Source organism: Homo sapiens, chromosome 11 (genome assembly GCF_000001405.40).
Source record: "Homo sapiens chromosome 11, GRCh38.p14 Primary Assembly".
In the NCBI taxonomy this organism is placed as follows: Eukaryota; Metazoa; Chordata; class Mammalia; order Primates; family Hominidae; genus Homo; species Homo sapiens.
The window spans coordinates 116588476-116609234 of record NC_000011.10 but is presented as its reverse complement, the minus strand read 5'-3'; positions in this window follow the sequence as shown (position 1 = coordinate 116609234).

Genomic DNA, 20759 nt, shown 5'->3' with positions numbered 1-20759 from the left:
CTGGGCCTACCACCTGGGAGAGTCAATTACTAGTTATGAGATGAATAAATGTGCATCTGGAGTGTCAGCTTTGCAAGGAATGGACAATGTTTTTTTCTTGTCTCCTATCTCCCTTAATATCTGCTATAGCACCTGCACACAATGGATGCTTCATAATTAGTGATAAATATAAGTACAAAGTATCCTTGCAATTTTGGAAGGTATCTTATCTATAATAAAGAGTAACAAAAGATATCAACCAAATGCTGACCCATGAGGATTTCTCGATCTTCCCGAGTTTCTTCTAGGTCTACGGCTTTCTTCTAGGTCTACGGCTAAGTCACCAGATGGTATCATGGGAAGGGTCCAGGACTGGATATTGGGAGATACAGATCCTGTTCCCAGATCTTTAATTGTTTTACCATTTGACCCTGGGCAAGCTGCTCCCAACTCTGAGCCTCGGTTTCCACATCTGTAATGGGAGGGGGTTTGTCTGGATACTTTTCCAGGTTTCTTTCAGTTTCAGCCTTATGGGATTCTCATTTTAAGCTGCCAGGCTCCTGTCAGACCTAACCCTGGGCCGTGTTTGTTTCTGTTCATGCTTTCTCTGGAACTGTGACCCAGGAGTGTCCTTTTACTTTGTGTCTCTCAGGGATAAACCAACTGTGCAGGTTGAACAGGTACTATGGAGGCGGGGCCTGGCTCCTCCTGAGTGGAATCTGGGGGAGAGAGCTGCCATGGCGGGGCTGAAGGGGCACTGTTGGTGGTGATGGTGGATTGTAGTGAGGGTCTCATGTTTCTGAACCACTTAGACCTGATCCCTGGGGCACCAGGGTAGGAAATCCACAGCCAGACCTGTTGCCCCCTCCTTACTCCCAGTGCTAGGGCACAGAGGGTGCATGTGTGTAGTGGAGGGCAGGGGGAAGAAATCAAGAGCCAGCATTGTCATCATGTTCGCCCCAGCCATCAGGACTGTTTTCTGTGCAGAAGTCTCATTGGAAAGTATCTAGGCTGGGCCCGTTGAAAATCCCTCCTCTGTACCAACACGGCTCAACACTATTCATGTTGCGTGCTATCCTTTAGCCAGCTCTGACCTTACTCTGTCACTAGAGTCTGCAAACCCAAGGGCACTCTCTTTGTGGAGTCCAGGGTTTTGTGGCCTGTGAATTCTACAGAAAGGATGTCTTATTTTCTCAAGTCTCATGGAATCACCTGTCCAAACTCAGTTATGCATGCCAGAGGATGGGTGTATGGCTGCCTCTCAACCCTCTCAGTTCCTGGAGATTTTGTGTGCCATGTGATGGAGCAGCTGCGAGCCTGGATGGGGCAGGGAGTGACAGAGAGCACCCTGAATGTCCAGGATCAAGCTGTGGCTCTGCTGTGTGACTTTGGGCAAGTCACCTGCTCCCTAAGCTTCTGTTTTACAATTGATAAAATAGGCATAGTGATAGATGCTTTGTAGTATCCTCTTAAGAGCAGATGAGATAACGAGGATGAAAACGATGTTGCAAGCTGTAAAGTGCTGGGCATGCATTAGAGGTGGCATGGGGCTGACATAAACTAGGGTCCTGGCTCCTGGGGATGGGCAGCCCCCTTTGGAGCGATCAGCTCATTCCCACAGAGCTTGCTGTCCCCCAGGCAGATCATTCCCCTCCCCTAGAGCTCTCTGTTACATTTTAATCCACCTAATTGAAAGACCGCTGGATCAGGCAAGGAACTTATCAAAGGGAAAGAGAGAAGAGCCTGGTGCCATTTGGCTCCCTGCACATTTGTCCTTTCAAATCCTTATAGATAATTCCATTTCTGTGTTAGGATCAAGACTAGAAATTTGGATGAGAGGGAGAGGGAGGGACAGGAGAAGGAAAAGGGGGAGGAAGGGATGGAGGCCAGAGACTAGCAGAGGCCATCAAGGCTTATGAGTGTGCTGGTTTGGGGCTGTTGGGTAGAGGGGCACTGGCAATGCAGGAAGTAGTGGGGGTGTAAGGAAGCCTGCAGGGCATTGCTCAGCCCACATGGGACCTTGCTGAGCAGGCAAGTGGTGGTGACACCAGGCAACTGCAGCTCCTCTGCCTCCCAGAGATGAGGAGGCTCACACTGCCCTGGAGCCAGCTTTCAGACATGCTACTTCCTGCACAGAAGTCAGTGTAACACTAGGCACCTGCTAGGTTCTATGTATGTGCCCCCCTCAAATTTATGTGTCATATGTTGACACTTAAGCTCCAGTGTGATGGTATTAGTAGGCAAGGTCTTTGAGAGGTGATTAGGACATGAGGGTCCCACCTTCATGAATGGATTGGTGCATTTATAAAAGAAGCCTGACGGAGCTTGTTCACCGATTTTCCCTTGCCACTTCTGCCACATAAAGACACAACAAGAAGGCACCATTTATGAGGACTGAATTTACTGGTGTCTTGATCTTGGACTTCTCAGCCCCCAGAACTATCACCAATACATTTCTGTTGTGTATGAATGACCCAGCATAAGGCATTTTATTATAGCAGCAGGAAGGGACTAAGACTCTGCCACATTCGTGGGGGAAGAGAAGGGCATGGTGGCAGAGACCTAACAAGGAAATCCTCTAGAAGGACCCAGCCCAGCCTCACATAGTGAATGCAGAGTGTCTGCCTTCACTGGGAAAGGAGTGACGGGTATGGGCATTGGGAGAGGAACAGGATGGAGGGGAAATGGCAGGGAGGGAAAAGGTGGGGTCATACCAGAATATGGTGGAGGCTATTCATAAAGTAGAAAATCCCATCCCCAAGCAACCCCAAGATAATGTTATTATTATATTTTGTGATGGAAGAAACTATGACTTGGGGAAATTTAGTACAAGCAAGTGGGGGTAGGCTGAGCCTTTGAGGGTGGGAGATGAGTGGGCCCAGCACAGACAGACTGGGGCAGCCAGGGGCAGGGTGGGTGGAGTAGGACAGAGAGACAGTGGGGCTGGATGGGAAATCCTTCCCCTAAATTCTGGGAGGCTGGACTCCTGTGTCTATGCATCCCTTATGCATCTGGAGGAACAGGCATGCAGGAAACAGGGCACAGCACTTTGCCTGGGGATCTTGCAGTCCAGGGAGAAAGGCAGATGTGCACTCTGATAAATAGAATGTAGTGTGTGAGTTAGTGCTGGAAGGGGACGCATGAGTATGCACTGGGTGAATCCCGGGGGAAGCTATTGATTAGTTTCCTGATGAGGGGTCAGGGCCAAGAAAGGTTTCACAGAGGAGGTGGCACTGCTTCTATTGAGAATGAAGAGATTGGTTCTTAGGGTGTTGATACAGGTCAGTGATTTTCTAGGAGGAAGGTGTGTCTGCCCTGTGATTCAATATTTTATCACATATGATTCTCACAACAGCCAAGTCTTTATCCTTACCTCCACTTCACAGGGAAATATTGAGATTGAAGTGATGTAATGTGGTTTATGTCTTTCCCACCTTAATCCACTGACTGGGAGGGCTCCGTGTGAATGGGCCCTCTTGCAGGGGCATTGGTGCCCTCTAGGGGACTGTGGCAAACAAGAAAAGCATCAGCACCTTGGACAGGGCCCAGGGGCTGGGGAAGGTCCAAGTCTCAGGTAAGACGTTGGAATCCAGGGCGATGATCAGTGAAGCTCCTTTCCAAAACCCAGGGCCCCTGGAGTGGACACCATTATTTGTAAGATGATATAATCTGAGGTGCAAATGAACGTGAGCTGACAGACCACTGGGCTGATCTGTGACTGCTGTATTTGGAGATAGGTCTGTAGCACAGGGGATTAGTTAATGTGCTACTGTGTATGTGTGTGGGCGGAGGGGGGGGGGAAGGGTGGGGGGGAGGTGCATTTTGTCCCCATGCTCCCAAAGTCGTATTACCTTTGAGGGGCTGGGACAAGCTTAAGAGCCCCTGTAACATGCAAATATGTTAGCTGAGAGGAGATGTAGCACAGGTCAGTATGTTTTGATGGAGGGTTGATGAAAGGTCTGGATCAAGGGCCACTGTCCAGGGGGAGTGGGCTAGGGGGTGTACCAGAGTAAGAGGCCCCGTGGTATCCAAGGAACAGCAAGAAGGGGCCAAGAGTGGGTGAGGGTGGAGGATTCACTGAAGACAAACATGATAATGTTGCTTCCATGGTCTATGCTAGAGGTCAGGGTGGGATGGAAATCTTGGTCAATGAATTCTGCATTCCTGAAAAATTTATAAATGAGAAAGGTCACACAAAGACACATACATCTGAGGAGACCCCAGGAGAGAGGAAGGAATGCACAGCTACATACATATCACTAACTACACAGGAATGAATGAGAGGCCTGCTTGCACTGTTATCTGCACATATGCTGTTGACCGGACATCACAGGGTGGCATCCGAAGCTTGAGAATGATGATGATGATGAAGATGATGAGGATGCTGGTTTTCAGCTTCCTAAGTCTTCTGTACTCTCATTTAATACCTCCAAAAATCATGTTAAGTAGAAAATATTCTTTCCATTTCTCAAGTGAGAAAACAGAAGCACAGTGTAGATTAAATAACTTGCCTCAGGTCATACTGTAAAGCAGGACCAGAGCTCCCACTTGAAGACCCCAGGTCTTCCAATTTCAGGTCAAGAGCTACTTTTACTGGACCTCAGAAAGAGCCAAGAATCTCAACAACTCCTGCTTCTATGGCCCAGAACCACTTATCCAGGGCACATGGAGAGTCTGCAAATGCACTTGGGAGGGTTCCTCTAAGGACACAGACGTTGGAGAAGGCTAAACCTGGGTTTGAATTTTGGCGCCTCCTCTCATCGCTGTGTATCTTGAGTGAACTAGTCAGTTTCTCTGAGCCTATATTTCATTAGCTGCAAAATGGGGATAGCAAAATTGATACTGCAAATTGTATAGAATAAAAGAGGAGACGACATAGGAGTGACTGACAGTGCATAGAGTTACAGAGAATTCTATTTACTCCGAATGTCCAGAATCTGCCCCATTCCAGTGGGAAGCGGTTGACCTGGCAGTGGAGTGTCCTTCTTTGGAAGAATGCCACTGGAGGGGAGGTGGCAAGGGGAATCTGGCAGGGCTTTCCTGACCTCGGAGCCCGACCTCTTTCTGACCCGGGGGACCTCAACCCTGGAGATGCAAAGCAGGGCCTTATGGAGACATCCCATCCGGGCTGAGGCCAACTCCCATGGGCAGCAGCCAGGGCCTTCAGGAGGCAGTCTGATGAGGTTTTGTGCCTAGAACCGCAGGGTGGGGGAACAGCCCCTCCCCGCCCTCCAGGTTCTGCCTGGGGCTCTGCCTGCAGTTCCCGGTTGTCAGCAGGCAAGACACGGGGCAGCCGTGTGGGCACCGGTGCATGCGAGGTGATTGCCCCTTTAATGTTTAATGTGCTGAAAAACCATTAGACCCCGAAATGGACAAGTTCTTGGTTGGTAACATTAATTATTGTTAAGACTCGGTCACGCCTGCTTATTAGCAATTATGCATGGCATCTCCCAGGGTGCTCTGGGCCTTCTTCCCCTTCTTCCTTCACCTGGGGACAGCAGGTTTATGGACCACTGCCTTCAGGAGGCTGGAAAGGCAGTGCCAAGCACACAGGTGGTTGCCATCACTCCCCTCTGTAGCTTGGGCTTACTTAGGGCCAAAGAGGACCATCAGCATCTTCTGAGAGGGGAGGAGAAAGACCTTCCCATGCAAATTGGGAGGGTCAGAGGGATCATTGGATAGCATGATGCCCTTCACAAAGTATTTTGCTTCCATTATGTCATTCCTTCTATCACCCCCTTTTTTTTAAAGACAGTCTTGCTCTGTTGCCCAGGCTGGAGTGCAGTGGTATGAACTCAGCTCACTGCAACCTCTGCCTCCCAGGTTCAAGTGATTTTCCTGCCTCAGTGTCCCAAGTAGCTGGGATTACAGGTGCCCGCCACCACGCCTAGCACATTTTTATATTTTTAGTAGAGATAGGTTTTCACTATGTTGGCCAGGCTGGTCTCAAACTCTTGACCTCAAGTGATCCACCCACCTTGGCCTCCCAAAGTGCTGGGATTACAGGCATGATCCACTGCGCCCAGCCAACACCACCCCAATTTTATATATAAGGAAACCGAGCCTTAGACGCTTAAGTCATAACAGTCACCTCTTAGAGTACCTGCCTTGCCTACACCTTGTTCTTGGACAACTGGCCACTGAAGCCTTGGGTCTAACTACCATGAAAATCCTACTTGATTTCAAATCCTCGCCTCCCCTCACTCTATTTTCGTAGCTCCCTGGACCAGGGATGGAGCTGGCCAGAGCTGGCCACTCAGAGGCTGTTTCCTGGAAATAGGGAGTTGGGATGCTGTCTTTTGGATGGTAGACCTGGGAGAGGATGTAGAAAAAGGAACACATCTGAGATCAATGCACAGAGGAAGAAAAAGAGAGGCTAGGGAATGGGGAGGGGTGGAGAGAAAGAGACAGAGAGAATGTGAAAGCCCAGAAGGACACAGAAAGCAGCCTTGGATCCCAACTCTCCACTCCCTTGTAAGCGCTGGCTGTACTCCCTACTCTCCGGTTCCAAGAGATAATCCCTTATCCTCCTGATAACCCCCACCTGCTCTTGCTTGAGATACTTTCCTATCCCAAGTCCCATAGTAGGGCTCAGACCTAACGATGCTGAGGCCAGCCCTGGTGGTCAGCTGGAGATTAGTGGGCTTTGGTGTCCCCTTAGACTTCAGGGACCAGCTGGGTCCCAGGAGAACAGCGGGCGCAGATCTAGGATTGCAGTCTGAAAAAGGGGCAGGATGGAGGCAGCCCCTCACCACAGACCACTGGCAATGTCTGCATTCTGCAGAATCTTCCCGAAGGACCACCTCTCTCCTACCACCCCTCGCCCAATCCCTGACACCCTAACACTGGGTTGTGTGCAGGTGAACTGCAGAGAAATGCCATGTGCTGGCAGCCTGTCTCTGGCCCTGATTTTTAAGGAGGGGAGGGGAAAGAAAAGCAGAAAGAAAAAAGTGAACATGAGTAATGGGCCTGGAATGAGGCATGTGAGATAACACTGAATAATAACGCGTCAAAAACTACAAGATGTATTTTTTTTATTTCCCAGTGGAGTTTCCATTGCGCTAATCCATCACTGTAGAGCAGGCAAGATTATGTGTCCCCAAAAAAACTCTGGGAGATAAATGTGAGTAAATTAGGGTTTATTATATTATTTGGGGTGATATAATTTCCAAGCGAGCCCTTATTAAATTACTTCCTCTGGTGCTGACACCTCCTGCCTCACGGTCTCTGCACCTCCGCTCCACTTTTCCTGTCTGAAGCTGCTTTGTATTTTAATGTCTCTCATCGTTTTTTGGTGGGGGTGAGTTGCCAGGGGAGAGAGCTGGGAGGAAGTGCTGAGTCACTGCTGTCAGGCTGAGTTTCTTCCTTGCCAGCTTCTCTATGGTCACAGAGCCATGGGCTCACACATCCATGCTGGTAAAACATGGAGCTACCCAGTCTACACCCTCATAGATGGGGAAACTGAGGCTAAAGGGAGAAATGTGGCTTAGGTCATGCAACTGGGTAGACTCAAAGAGTCGAGACTGGTACCCACGTGCTAACTTCCAGGCCTGTTCTCCATCTCTGTGTGGGATCTTGTTTTGTCTGTCAGCCTTGGCTTCAGAGCCACTTCAAGTCTAACAGCAGAGGCCCATGGAATTTTGGGGTCTTAGTCATCTATGAAATATGCCCAGTGACCCAAAGAGAGAGATGAGAGAAGACCTCGTATAGTCTAGGTTTGGCTCGATCAGAAAAGGCTGTACAACTTTACGCAAAGGACTTGACCTCTCTGAGCCTTTATAGTAGGTACACCACATTACAGTAAAAGGGCTTGGAGCAGATGAGCGATTTGCAGACATGTTTTTAGCAGTGGAACCTCTTAAAAATGAAATTTTATGAAATGAACTCTAACATATAAAATATTTAAATAAGGAGTTACCCTGATTGAAGAAGGGGACTGTGGGGTGGGGAGGGGGCCCTGATCCATCCCAACCCTCAGGATTCCTGCTTGCTTCTTACCCAGTTTGAAGTTACAGGGCCCAGTTTCAGCATCTGACCCTGATTTCACTGTGCAATGCCCTCCTTGCATCCTCACCGAGACTGTGCAGTTTCTAGAGATGAGCCACCAGCATCTCCTCCAGCCCTGTCTCAGCAAATGCCATGTGAGGCAAATGCCACGTGACGCATCCACATAGCCCTGTTCTCTTGATTTCAGGAAGTGCAATCCAATTGAGCTGAACAGTGGTTAAGGACATAGTTTTGCCATTTATTAGCCGAGTGACCTTGGGCCAGTTGTTGTTGTTGTTATTTTAGATGGAATCTCACCCTGTTGCCCAGGCTGGTGTGCAGTCCCACAATCTTGGCTCACTGCAGCCTCTGCTGGGTTCAAGGGATTCTCCTGCCTCAGCCTCCTAGAAGCTGGGATTACAGGTGCCCGTTATCATGCCCAGCTAATTTTTGTGTTTTTAGTAGAGATGGAGTTTCACCATGTTGGCCGGGCTAATCTTGAACTACTGACCTCAAGTGATCCACCTGCCTCAGTCTCTTAAAGTGCTGGGATTATAGGCATGAGCCACCATTCCTGGCCAAGTTATTATTAGTTTTAATCTCCCTGAGTGTCTTAGTTTTAAAATGGGATAATCACAACTTTGACTTCATAAAATAGGCTTAAATGAGAAAATACATATGAACAGGTAGCATGGTACCACACATACTGTAAGTTATAGTTACTATCTTCATGAATTCTACCACATAGGTATTTTTTCGTGAGGCTCGTATGAGATAAAGGCTTTTCAGTACCCAATAGATGCTTAACAAATTACTTTTCTATTGCTGCACAACTTATTATAAACCTACCAGTTTAAAACAATACATACAAATTCATAGACACAGAAAGTAGAATGGCGGTTGCCAGGGACTGAGGAGAGGGAGACATGAAGAGTCATTTAACGGGTGCAGGGTTTCCATTTGTAAGACGAAAAGTGCTCTGGGGACAGATGGTGAGGGTTGCACAGCAGTGTGAAGACACTGAACACTGTTGAACAGCGTATTTAAAAATGGTAAAGATGGTAAATTTTAGTTAGGTATATTTTACCACAGTTAAAAAATTTTAAGGAGGACAAAATGAAAACAGCAACAGCATCAACAAAAAGCTGCACGCCAATGTATGATGTCCCAGTTCTGTAACTTAGAGGTGTGGTATGGCTGAGAGTGTCCATGAGGCTGAACTCAAGGTGTGGGGCTGAGTTTCCATTTGGAGGCTCTGGAAAATAATCCACTTCTAAGCTCATTTATGGTGTTAGAAGTCGTAGGACTGAAGTCCCCATTTCCTTGCTGGCTGTTGGCTGGTTGTCACTTTCAACTCCCAGAGGCCACTCCAGGTCCTCTCCATGCAACTCCCTCCACCTTCACGCCAGCAAGGTGTGTTGAATCCTTCTCATGCCTCCCGTCTCTCTGGCTTCCCTTCTGTGGCCAGCAGAATAAGCTCTGCATTCATTGATTCATTGATTCATTCATTTATTGAGACAAAGTCTCACTCTGTCGCCCAGGGTGGAGTGCAGTGGTACAATCTTGGTTCACTGCACCCTCCACCTCCCAGCTTCAAGCAATTCTTGTGCCTCTGCCTCCTGAGTAGCTGAGATTACAGGCACGTGCCACCACACCTGGTGAATTTTTGTATTTTTAGTAGAGACAGGGTTTCACCATATTGGCTAGGCTGGTCTCGAACTCCTGACCTTAAGTGATCCACCCACCTCAGCCTCCCAAAATGCTGAGATTACAGGCATGAGCCACCGTGCTGGCCAAGCTCTGCTTTTAAGGGTCTCAGTGATTGGTCAGTCCCACCTGGACAATCCCTGTCTCTTAAGGTCAACTGATTTGGGAAGTTTTATCTGCAAAATTCCTTACTGCAGCTCTGAGGTTCGTGTTTGATGATATACCCAGGGGTGAGGAATCTTGGGGGCTGGCCTGGGTGTTTGTGGGGTGGGTGTGCTGTGTGAGCGGGAGCAGAGCTGGTGGACGTGGAAGATGCTGGAGCTCCCCACTGAGGGAGGGGCTGCTGAAGGTGTATAGGGACAGGAGTGGCCTCTTGGGGTAGTTTAGGAAGAGAGAGAATAGGAGCACTTTGGACCAGAGTAGTCTGAGGAAAACAGAAATATACTTCTCCTTTTGCCTGGAAAAGAGGAGCATGGTTCCTTTCTCCCTTCACTCCATTACTCTTCATAGTAGATATTGTGGAGTGCCTACAATGAGCCAGGGCTTCACTGGATTCCGAGGACAGAGTGGTGAACAACATGGATGGGACCCGTCTCCTCTTCCTGCTGAGAGTTTTCCCGAGGGGAGAGATGAAGCAGAGGAGCTTCCTACACAGAGGGGAATGCAGTGATAGGGGAGGCATTGGGTGCTATGGGAGCCCTGGGGAGGGTCCCGACCCCAGGTCCTGGTTTCAAGTGGATGAAGCAGGAGCTCCTCATCCCCTTTCAGGTGGCTGGAAGGTGGAGGAGTGACAGAAGTCCTGTGAAGGGCTTCCAGGGGGCTCTCACCCAGGCCCCTTCTCCCTTTCATGCAGGAGGAAGGCTGGGCTGGTGCTGGGAGGAACTCAAGATGGCCCAAAGATCACAATTCTGGGAGCATGGGAGCAGGGGCGGCAGAAGGAAGTACAAAACTCTGTGATCCTCAGAGTCTGGCCCCTGGTGAAGAGCTAAGTGTCTTTTTGCTGACAGCTGCAGCAAAAGGTACAATCATTAGAAGGTGGCATTTTGCATTAAAATTGTCCCCATCAGCCAGTGACATTTTCTTGTTCCTTCTGGTCAGGAGACCTTTCAGTGCCACAGATTCAAATGACTCAGACGTCAGAATTTCTTCCCTTCTGGGAGAGAAACCCAGTGTAGTCACCCTGGGGTGGATGTACGCATGAGCCAAGGTTAAAAAAGCAGGTGAACTGGTGAGCACAGCAAGGACCACAGGCTGTGTGTGAGAGCGTGCAAGGAAGCATCAGTGCACATCTGTGTTTTGTGAAGCTGAACCATTTGTGCCTATAAGGATGACAAGCCTGGGGTATCAGGCCCAGCAGGCATGTGCCCTGCCAGTGCATTCATTCTGTGGAAAGAAGGACACACACACAGAGGCTCACGTGTGAGCATGTGTGCCAAAGAGAGAAATGAGCAAGTGTGCACAAGAGCGTGCACACATGCGAGTACAAGTGGGCACCCACTAGTGTCTGGGCACATGTAAGCTGCCCAGCTCACAGCAGTTGTTAGGCGGTCCACCTGAAGGGCAGTGGCTGTCTACCCCTGTCCTTCCCTACTTCCATATCCTTCCCTGTCTCAGCAAGGGGCACCACACACACCCAGTTGTCAAGAGAAACCCAGGAATCCTCCTTCCTTTCTTTCATCTAAAGTTCAAATGTCTTCTCTCCAGATAGGCCTTCTCTGCCCACAGCAATGAAAATAGCTCCCCGTCCCCTCTGTATTTCCCATCACTGCACAAGCTTACTTTCCTGGACGCATTATCTCTATGGGGAATTATCTTGCTATGTGGGTGTGTGTGTGTTCACATCCTCCTGCCCCCTCCAGAATGCAACTCCCTGAGAGCAGGGCTGTCTTTCCTGTTCACTTCTGTACACTCAGTACTAGCCTGACTCGTTGCCTTGTGTTGCCCCAGGGCTGACTTAGGCGGGGTGGGCTAAGTATCCTTTGGTGCTACGGATGGCATGACACAGAACAAATTGGCCTATGAGAGAGTGAGCTCCTTGTCACAGAAAGCATTCAAATAGAGACAGAACAAACACCGTTACTTCTCACACCTACAGTGCCATATTGTGGGATACAATGATTGTCAAGACTGGTCCCATTTGGCCTCTCCGGCCTCACTGTTTTCTGATTGTGTCCTGTTCATTGACACCTCCCTGTCTGCTTGTGCTGTTATTATGCCTGGAAGGCCCTCCCTTTATCCCTTGCTTGGAAACTCATTCTCACCTGTATTTGAAAAGTCATGCTCTATGAAGTCACCTTCTACCCATCAGACAGAACCAAGTCCTCCTTTGTCCTGCTCTTGGGTTTCTTTTGGTGTGCCTGGTTGTAGCTCTAACCACTGTGGATATGTTTCCTTGTGTGTTCCTGGCAATAGGCCCAAATCTTCTACGGCCAAGGCCGTTAGCTCAGCATCCCCAGGCCTGGCATGGGGCTGCCATGGTACCCAAGGGATGCTTGGCAGTTGTTTGCAGCAGAGGCATGATGGGAGTTTTGGCAGGCAGGTAAGATATACAGCTCCCCTAGTTGACTCTTCTGCCCCTGGCGCATGCTTCTCAGCTCCTCTGATTTTGCAGTCACCTGTTGGTCCTTTCTGCTGACGCTGGGCTCAGCTTGAGAGCCTCTCAACCGTCTCCCCAGAAAAGATGTTGAACATGTTACTGTCCAGATCCCAGATGAGCCCAAGTCCCAGCTCAGGCTATTGACTGAGAGCCAGTGCCTGGTGGGGAGCCCCAAGCCCGAGTGCCCCTTACAGGGCCCAGATGGATTGTTCTGCGGAGACCCCCACAAAGAGATAACATCTTTTGAGAGGCTGGGGCTGGCTGAGGATAAAAAAGGTGAGCCCTAAAGATCCTCACTCTCAGTCTACACCAGAGATACAGAGGACAGAAGCAGGAGCAAGTCGGGGAGGATTAGGGAGGGGTGTTCTAGGGGTGAGTCAGCCTGGGCTCATCCATGCTGAGCGTTTAGGGGAGCTTGGGCCACCTGAGGCAGAGTGCCAGTGTTGGGGCAGGCTGGGTTCACAGGGTGCATGTCTGCAGTAGAGAACACTGGAGGGACACTGTGGAAAGGCACCCTGAACCTGCAGTCGGGAGCCACGGGTTCCAGTCTGGCTCTGCCACTTCCTAAGCGTATAGCCTTGGGCAAGAGTCTCAAATTCATCCCAGCCTCAGTTTTCTCATCTGCGAAAGAGGATCCTAGGAATTTAGCACTGTGCTGTGCACTAATGATTTAATCTTCATGACATCTCTGTGAGGTAAGTAGTATTATATTTCCCAGATGAGGAAACGGAGGCTTAGGCCACCTAATCTGCACCGAGCCACACAATTGCCCAGTGCTGGGGTTTGAACCTGAACCCTGTCTAGCTGTGAAGCCCAGTTTTCAGCCACTGCTCCACATTGCCTTGCAATGCCTGTGGGGCCTTGCTCCCAGGGTTGCTGTGACCATCTGAAGAGATGATAGCTGATTACGGCTGAGGGGCCCAGCATAGTTCAGGTGCAGGACCCCTACAGTGTGGCCTCGGGCTCAGGACACCCACTTCTCCCTGACACTGCTCCCCTCCTCCTCTCCTCCTCCCAGCTCATGCTGGGCTGCCCCTGGGGGCAGGTGCAGGCTGGTGCCCTCTCTGCCTGCTTCTGCTGCTGCTAAACTTTACACTGGGCTCTGTCATTAGCCCGACAACAAGCTCCCTGTTTGACTAGCCCTGTCCAAATTTGCTCGGTGCGAGCAGGAGCCCATGGTAAGTAAACGGTTTTCTGTGGATATTTGAGCACTAATGAAGAGGCAGCGAGCGGGGCCCATTAATAACTGAGGAGATGATTGTGTTTGCAGAAGGCCCGTATACAGGGTGTCAGCCTGCCAGGCAGGGCCCGCCTCCTTATTGATTTCCCAATAAGCCGAAGTGGAGCTCTTGTTCTCATCCCAGGCGGGAGGTATCCTCTGTGCAGCCCCTGGGTTGGATCTCCTTTCCCTGGGTGCTGGAATCCTGGAGAGGCACTCAGCCTGGGTTTCAGGTAAGAGTAGGGTTTTCATTCATTCGTTCATTCATTCATTCATTCATTCATTCATTCATTCAACATGCATGGATTGAGTATCTTTTATGTTTGGCCACTTTACCAATAGACAAGTCCCTATCCTTACCTAGAAACACAGCCTGCCTTTGACCTCAGTGGGGGACTTCGTCCTTGATACCTCTGGGCAGACACGTAGGCAAAAACTGAGTCCTTGTCTGTTTGGACTTTGGATCATGCACCAGGTGGTACCTGTCATCATATGCTGCCCATCAGGGTCCCCTGCAATCATTTTGAACTGACCAACTCCCTTGTCTGTGACAGGAGATGGCCCTCTGAATGGCCCTACAGGATGGCATCTTCTTCTCCATGTTGTCCTTTAACCTTGAGATCCCGCAGGCTCAGCTTGGGAATTTCTGGCTTTAGGTTGGGAGAAGGGCTGCTGGGCAGAGCGGAGGCCCGTTTGTCCTCCTCCCCGTTGGGAAACTTCCAGGTCCTGAGCTCTCCAGGGAGATGCCACAGCAGGTCCAGGTCCAGGGTTCCAGAAGGGCTGCCAGGACCCCCAACCTGAGCCTGGTTGGGTGGGTAATTTCTGGTCTGTCTTGCAGAGGACACCAGGACGATCAAGGCCAATATCCTAGCTGATGAGCTCGTATTCTGATAGAGGAGACTGAACTGTAAGCAAATGATTGGAGAAAAAAATATGTTGAGAGGCATGAATCCAGGGATGTGGGAGCAGAGAGGGTGGAAGAAGGCAGGAAAGACTTCCCAGAGGAGGGACATTTGAGCAGGTCCTTTAAGGCTGGCTGGAGGCTTATAGAAGCCACAGTGACTGATCCCATTGGTGGAGGAGGAACAGGATAGTCTGCCATTGGCTGCAGTCTTGCAGCAAAGAGACCTAGACTTGTGTCTCCTGGCCCGGGTAGGTTTGTTGGGTAGGTTCTTTAACCCTGAGATCCAACAGGCTCAGCTTGGGAATTTCTGGCTTTAGGTTGAGAGAAGGGCTGCTGGGCAGAGCAGAGGCCCACTTGTCCTCCCCATTGGGAAACTTCCAGGTCCTGAGCTCTCCAGGGAGATGCCACAGCAGGTCCAGGGCTCTTTCCTGTCTTCTACCACCCTCTCTGCTCCCACAGCCCTGGATTCATGCCTCTCAACATATGATTTTTTTTCTCCAATCATTTGCTTACAGGTCAGCCTCCTCTATCAGAATATGAGCTCATCAGCTAGGATATTGGCCTTGATCATCCTGGTGTCCTCTGCAAGGAGACTTGTGTCTCCCGGCCAGGGTAGGTTTTTTCCTAAGAAAGTCCTCTCAGAAGGTTCTTGAGTTGGGATTGGGGTCTCGGGGTTGAGGCTGGGATGAGATACTCCCAGAAACAAATCCTCCTGGACTGGGTGTTAGTGTTTACATCTCTTGCCCCATTAGAGTACACATGTGAAAAGATGAAGGAAGGTGTGGGGTAGAAGTCAGTAGACTCAGATGCGCATCCTAGTCCTGCCATTAGCTGGGAGAGTGACTCCCTTCTTGAAGACTCCATTTCCTTGTCTGTAGAATAGAGCTGATAATACCTACCTCAAGGCATTCTGGGGAGAACCGACTGGAGTAATAAGTGATAAAGAAAAGCCGTGCTGCTCTAAGAGGCTGTCAGTGCACTGAGAAACGCAACCCGAGCATCTGTATTTAACTTTGGTCCCTAAACAGAGACACATACATTCCACACACACTGTACCAATCCCCCCTTGCTACAGCCTTGGGCTCAGGGTGCATCGCTAGATAACAGAAGGGACTGTACTACTGGAGCCCAGGGCCAGAATATAATGCTGGGGTCCAAGGAAATGAGTGAGGAGGACTGAGGCAGATGCTGAGCTAGTCGTAAGGAAGCCCGGCTCGCATGGCATCCTCTCTCATGGGACACAGAGGCAAGGCTGCTGGCTGAAGTATCCTCTACCAGAGGGACCCTAGTGCTTGGGACCAAGGGGGCAATCCAGAGCCTCCCTGGGGACCTAAAAGAATTTTGAGAATAAGCGTCTATACTGGGCCGGCTCCCTCAGCCTTTTCTTCTAGCCCAGACTACCTACTATTTTTCTTACCCATTTTCAAGTTCCAGGAAGTCCAGCCAAGGGCTGCGGAGAGGCAGGCCTTCTGCTGGGCTGAAATCTCCAGATCAATGGGTGTCTCTTTGGCCTATTTATTCTAAGGCAGAAGATGGGGTCCTGGCAGTAGAGACCTCCTTTCTACCATCCTCACGGCCACACTGCTTTGCACGCACTACTTACTGTTTGTCACTGAGAGATGAAAAGCACCAACCCCAGTGCCCCCATCAATTCCTATCCCCCAGGCCCAGGAGAGTAAGGAAGTTTGAAATGGAAGGCTGCTCAATTATGCATCTGGGCCCCTTTCCCAGGGTGGGGACCTGTCTCTCTCCTGGGGATCTGGTCTATACCCAGCAGAAGAACATCTTTGGTAAGACAGAAAAAGTGACATTCAGTTATACTTGTGGTTCCCAACCCTGATTGTACTTTAGAATCACCTGGAGATTGCAGGTGATGCCGGGACCCCACTCCAGACCAATTAAATCAGTGTCTGTGGGGTGGAGCCCAGGCATCTTTATCCTAAAAAGTGACCTGCAGCTGGGAATGATGGCTCATGCCTGTAATTCCAGCACTTTGGGAGGCCAAGGTGGGAGGATCACTTGAGCCTAGGAGTTCAAGACCAGCCTGGGCAACATAGTGGAACTCCATTTCTACAAAAAATCAAAAGTCAGTCAGGCGTGGTGGTGCGTGCCTGTAACCCCAGCTACTCAGCAGGCTGAGTTGGGAGGATTGCTTGAGTCTGGGAGGTAGAGACTTCAGTGAGTTATGATTGTGCCACTGCGCTTCAGCCTGGGTGACAGTGAGACTCTGTCTCAAAAAAAAAAAAAAATTCTGCCTAAATGGTTTTGATGCATAGTGAGGGCAGAGAACTTCTGACTTGGAGAAGGTTTATCTTCTGGGTATTGTCTCTCCCGTCCTGCACGTAGGACTTACAGTATCTGAAGTCTCCTTTGATTTCCATCAAGGGGAAAAAGGGATGAAACCTACTGCCTGAGTGCCTGAGACAGAGGTCAGGAGGAAGAAGCACCTGGACCCTGGGAGGGAAGAAGAGAGGACCCAAGATCTAAGAGGGGATGAGGGAGCAGAAGGATGAACCCCCAGATATCAGTCGAGGAGACTTGGTAGGGAGGGAGGTAGAGAGCTGCTTTGTACTCTCTTCTGGTCTGTGTGCATGCTTGACTGTCTGATGAGAAGATTTATTTCTGAGAATGGGCTGACCTTCTTGTGCTTCCAGCTGCTAAGAGCACAGTTAGGGGTACATTTGGGGAGTTACCCTTTGGAATTTTGGATCTAACATCCAGGGCCCTGCTGCACTGCAGATGAACACTGTTTGTGCTGAGATTCTGTTTTCACACTGTCTAATTGCTGGACTCAGGGTACAGAGATGGAGGGAGAGTCAGTATGAGCTGTGGAATGCCACCAGAAAGCCCTAGGGATATGGAGACAACCACACTGAGATGGGAATTGTAATTTGAGAAAGAATTTCCAGGTGAAGAGCCAGACTCCTGGGACACTCAGAGCACTGGGAAAAAAAAAAAAGACTAACAAATTCCTGTGTGAAATTTTCAGCTGGAAATTTTTTTTAAAAATGTAGCCTTAATGGACAAATGGACACCTAATTCCTGAAGACGTTCTTTTTTTTTTTTTTAAGGCTAGAGGAGGTCAGGGCAGAAATGCAGGAACTTATTCCTGGCTTTTGTCCTGCACCATCATCTGAGGCCGGACCCCCTGGGGTTCTGGCTGCTGATGAGGAACTGGATATTGAGGGTCAAGTCAGCTCTGGAATCACTGGTACTAACTGCCAGTTGGTGAGAACCAATAGTTCTTCCAGAAACTGGAGGATGGTACTAGGAATATGCTGCTGAGAATGAAAGAAAAAAGGTTTGAGTCATAGTAGAATCTGTGTAGAAATGGCACAGGGTGGCCAAGCTTGTGTGTAGGGAGATGCCGCTGTTCAGGGCACACAAAGAGTAATTAATATGACCCCTCACAGGAGCTGTTCGTGGACCCAGAGGCATGCAGACTCACGTGTCTGCGCAGTGCTGGCCCCCTGCCCTGGAATGAACACATGGCCATGTGGGAGGAATGGCTTTCTCCTCCCTCAGCATTTTACCTTGGCCCATATAGAGGAACTCCAGCCCTTTTGGAAACAGTGATCAGAGCTGCTTCTGCTTATCCCTCCATGCTCTCAATTGCTCTCTCTCTCTTTCTCCAAGTGGGTAATGTGATAAGAAGTGGGGCCGGCACAGGGGTGGCACAGGCACCCTTCCTTGCTCTGCTGTCAGGGCCGCCCTGCCTTCAGGGAGCCTGCATTCCACCCGTCCTCACTGGAGCAAGGTCTACCCCTGCACAGAAAAGACGTGCAGTTCTGAGTGCAGGTGAAAGTATCAAGAGCCCAGCTGTGGATGTAGACCCAAGCTATGCTTGCCAACCCAGCCTTCTGGGTAACAAAGCCGATGATGGCTCCTGTTCCCATGAAAGGGACAGATATTTCAGCCAAGCAGCAAAGAATTGCTCACTTGGGTTAGGGGAGAGAAAGCGTTGAAGGAGAGGAAGGTGGCATGAGTGAAGTGGTGGAGGTTCCCAGAGAAGGGAACTAGCAAACAAGGCAGAAGGAGAAGGCAGGAGGCTGGCCACCATGGGCCTTGAGTGCCACGCTGAGAAGTTCAAGCTTATTGGACAGACATATGAGAGCTACGGAAGTTTGTTTATGACAAAAATCAGAATCTAAGATTCTGATAACTTGGCCACTGAATAGAAGGAAGGAGTAAGAGAGGTCATGGGGGGGGTGAGGGGTCATGGGGAAGTCTGGGGTTTCGAGTGTGGTGGTGTGAAAGCTGCAGATGGCATCTGAGAAGCTAGGGGGTGAGGAGGAGGAGGGTGGGGAAAAGACAATGACCTTGGTGGCAGACATTTTGGGACTGAGCTGGTGTAGGACAGCCAGAGAGGAATGTCCAGCAGAAGCCTTGGGAGGGAGGCTGGAGCCCTCTCAGGAGGTGGGGAGGCCTGGAGTTTAGATAGGAGAGCCATCATTATGTGAGAATGGAGCCGTGGAGGGAGAGAGGGCATGGTGGGAGGGGGCATCTGGAGATACGGCGATGAGAACACACTCACATGGGGCTCAAAGGCAGAAAGAGGTGGTGAAAGGGGCAGACAGGGATGGCCAGAGGGGCAGAAAGTGGTAAAGCAGCCATGGAGTACTGCCCAGATCAAGGCCTGGGAGGGCTCCAGACTCTGAGTTGAACTTAAGAAGAAGAATGCTGTCCAAAGTGAGAAATGCCACTCAGAAGTCAGAGAGGATGGGGTCTCAGATGGCTCTTAGAGGTGGTCACTGGGGGGTCATTAGTGTCCTCAGCTGTATCAATAGCCAGACTGCAGGGGCTTGAGGGACCAACAGGTGGGGAGGAAGTAGAGGGGCCAGGTCAGACCCCACTTGGAAGTTGGTAAGGGTAGGGGAGAGGGAACCAGAGCTCAGTAGTTCAAGGGAGAGGCAGGTGTATGTGTAGAAGAGTCTGGGAATGGAAGGATGTGTATGTCATGGTTTCCTCACTGGACTTCCTCTTGGGAACTGGATGTTTCCCTTCCTCCTGGCAGGGGATGAGACAACAGCCACCTTAACAGGGCTGGATGGTTGGCCAGGCTGCTGATTGCACAGTGAGTGTGGGGACGACGAGATTCACCAGGAAGCGGTTGGGACTGCTCCAGGCCTGCTTCTCTTTATGCCCATGGCTGGTGGCTTCATTCTGAGCTCCTGGGAGGGGACCAGGTTCATTCCCTCCTATCTACGTACCTCTGTCCTTGCTACCTGGCCCACAGGGAGGCAGCAGTCCCAGCTCCTTACCTGTTGCTGCTGCTGCAGACACCACCTATGGCTCTGAGAGTGCTCAGGAAAACTGGTGGGGCCATGAGTTAGTTTGAGAGGCACATAGCAGTGCTCCTAATTAGAAGTACTCCAACTGACTCCCACACTGTCCTCAAAATCATCCTTCAACAAACGAGACTCCCCTGTTTCTCACTGACTAAGGTTCAAGCTCCTTAGCACAGCCGATGAGGGCCGGCACCATGTTAGCCCTGCGATTTTTTCAGCCAGACTTGGATTTCTTATGTGCCTTGTGTCCCCAACTCTCCAGTCCTGCCAAATGTCTCCTGGTCCTTTGAACATCTTGCTATGCTTTTTCAGATGCTGAGCCCAGTGCCTGGGATCACCTTCTCCCTCTTGTCTCACAGATAAGTCCTGCCCATTTTTGAAGACTGATATGGTTTGACTGTGTTCTCAGCCAAATCTCATCTTGGATTGCTCCCATAATTCCCATATGTTGTGGGAGGGACCCAGTGGGAGATAATTGAATCACGGGGGCAGTTTCCCCCATACTGTTCTCGTGGTAGTGAATAAGTCTCATGAGATCTGATGGTTTTAAAAGGGGAAACCCCTTTCACTTGGCTTGCTTTCTCTCTTGTTTGCCACCATGTGAGACATGTCTTTTGACTTCCACCATGATTGTGAGGCCTCCCCAGCCACGTGGAATGGTGAGTCCATTAAACCTTTTTATCTTTATAAATTACCTAGTCTTGGGTATGTCTTTATCAGCAATGTGAGACCAGACTAATACAAAGACCCAGCTCATAGGCCACCTCCTCTGGAGAGCTTTCCTGTTGCCTCCCTTTCCTTTGGAGATCCTATCATGGATATTGTTGACAGTTTACCAAGTTCCAGTTTCTTTTTTTTCTTTCTTTTTTTTTTTTCTGTAGAGGTGGGGTCTCACTATGTTGCCCAAATTGGTCTTGAACTCCATGCTCAAGCAGTCCTCCCACCTTGGCCTCCCAAAGTATTGGGATTACAGATGTGAGCCACTGTGCCCAGCCCCCATTTCTACTTCTAAAAATTCACAACAAACCTGATTTTGTTTGGGTGCTCTCCACTCTCCCACATAGCCAGAGGCTTTAGGGG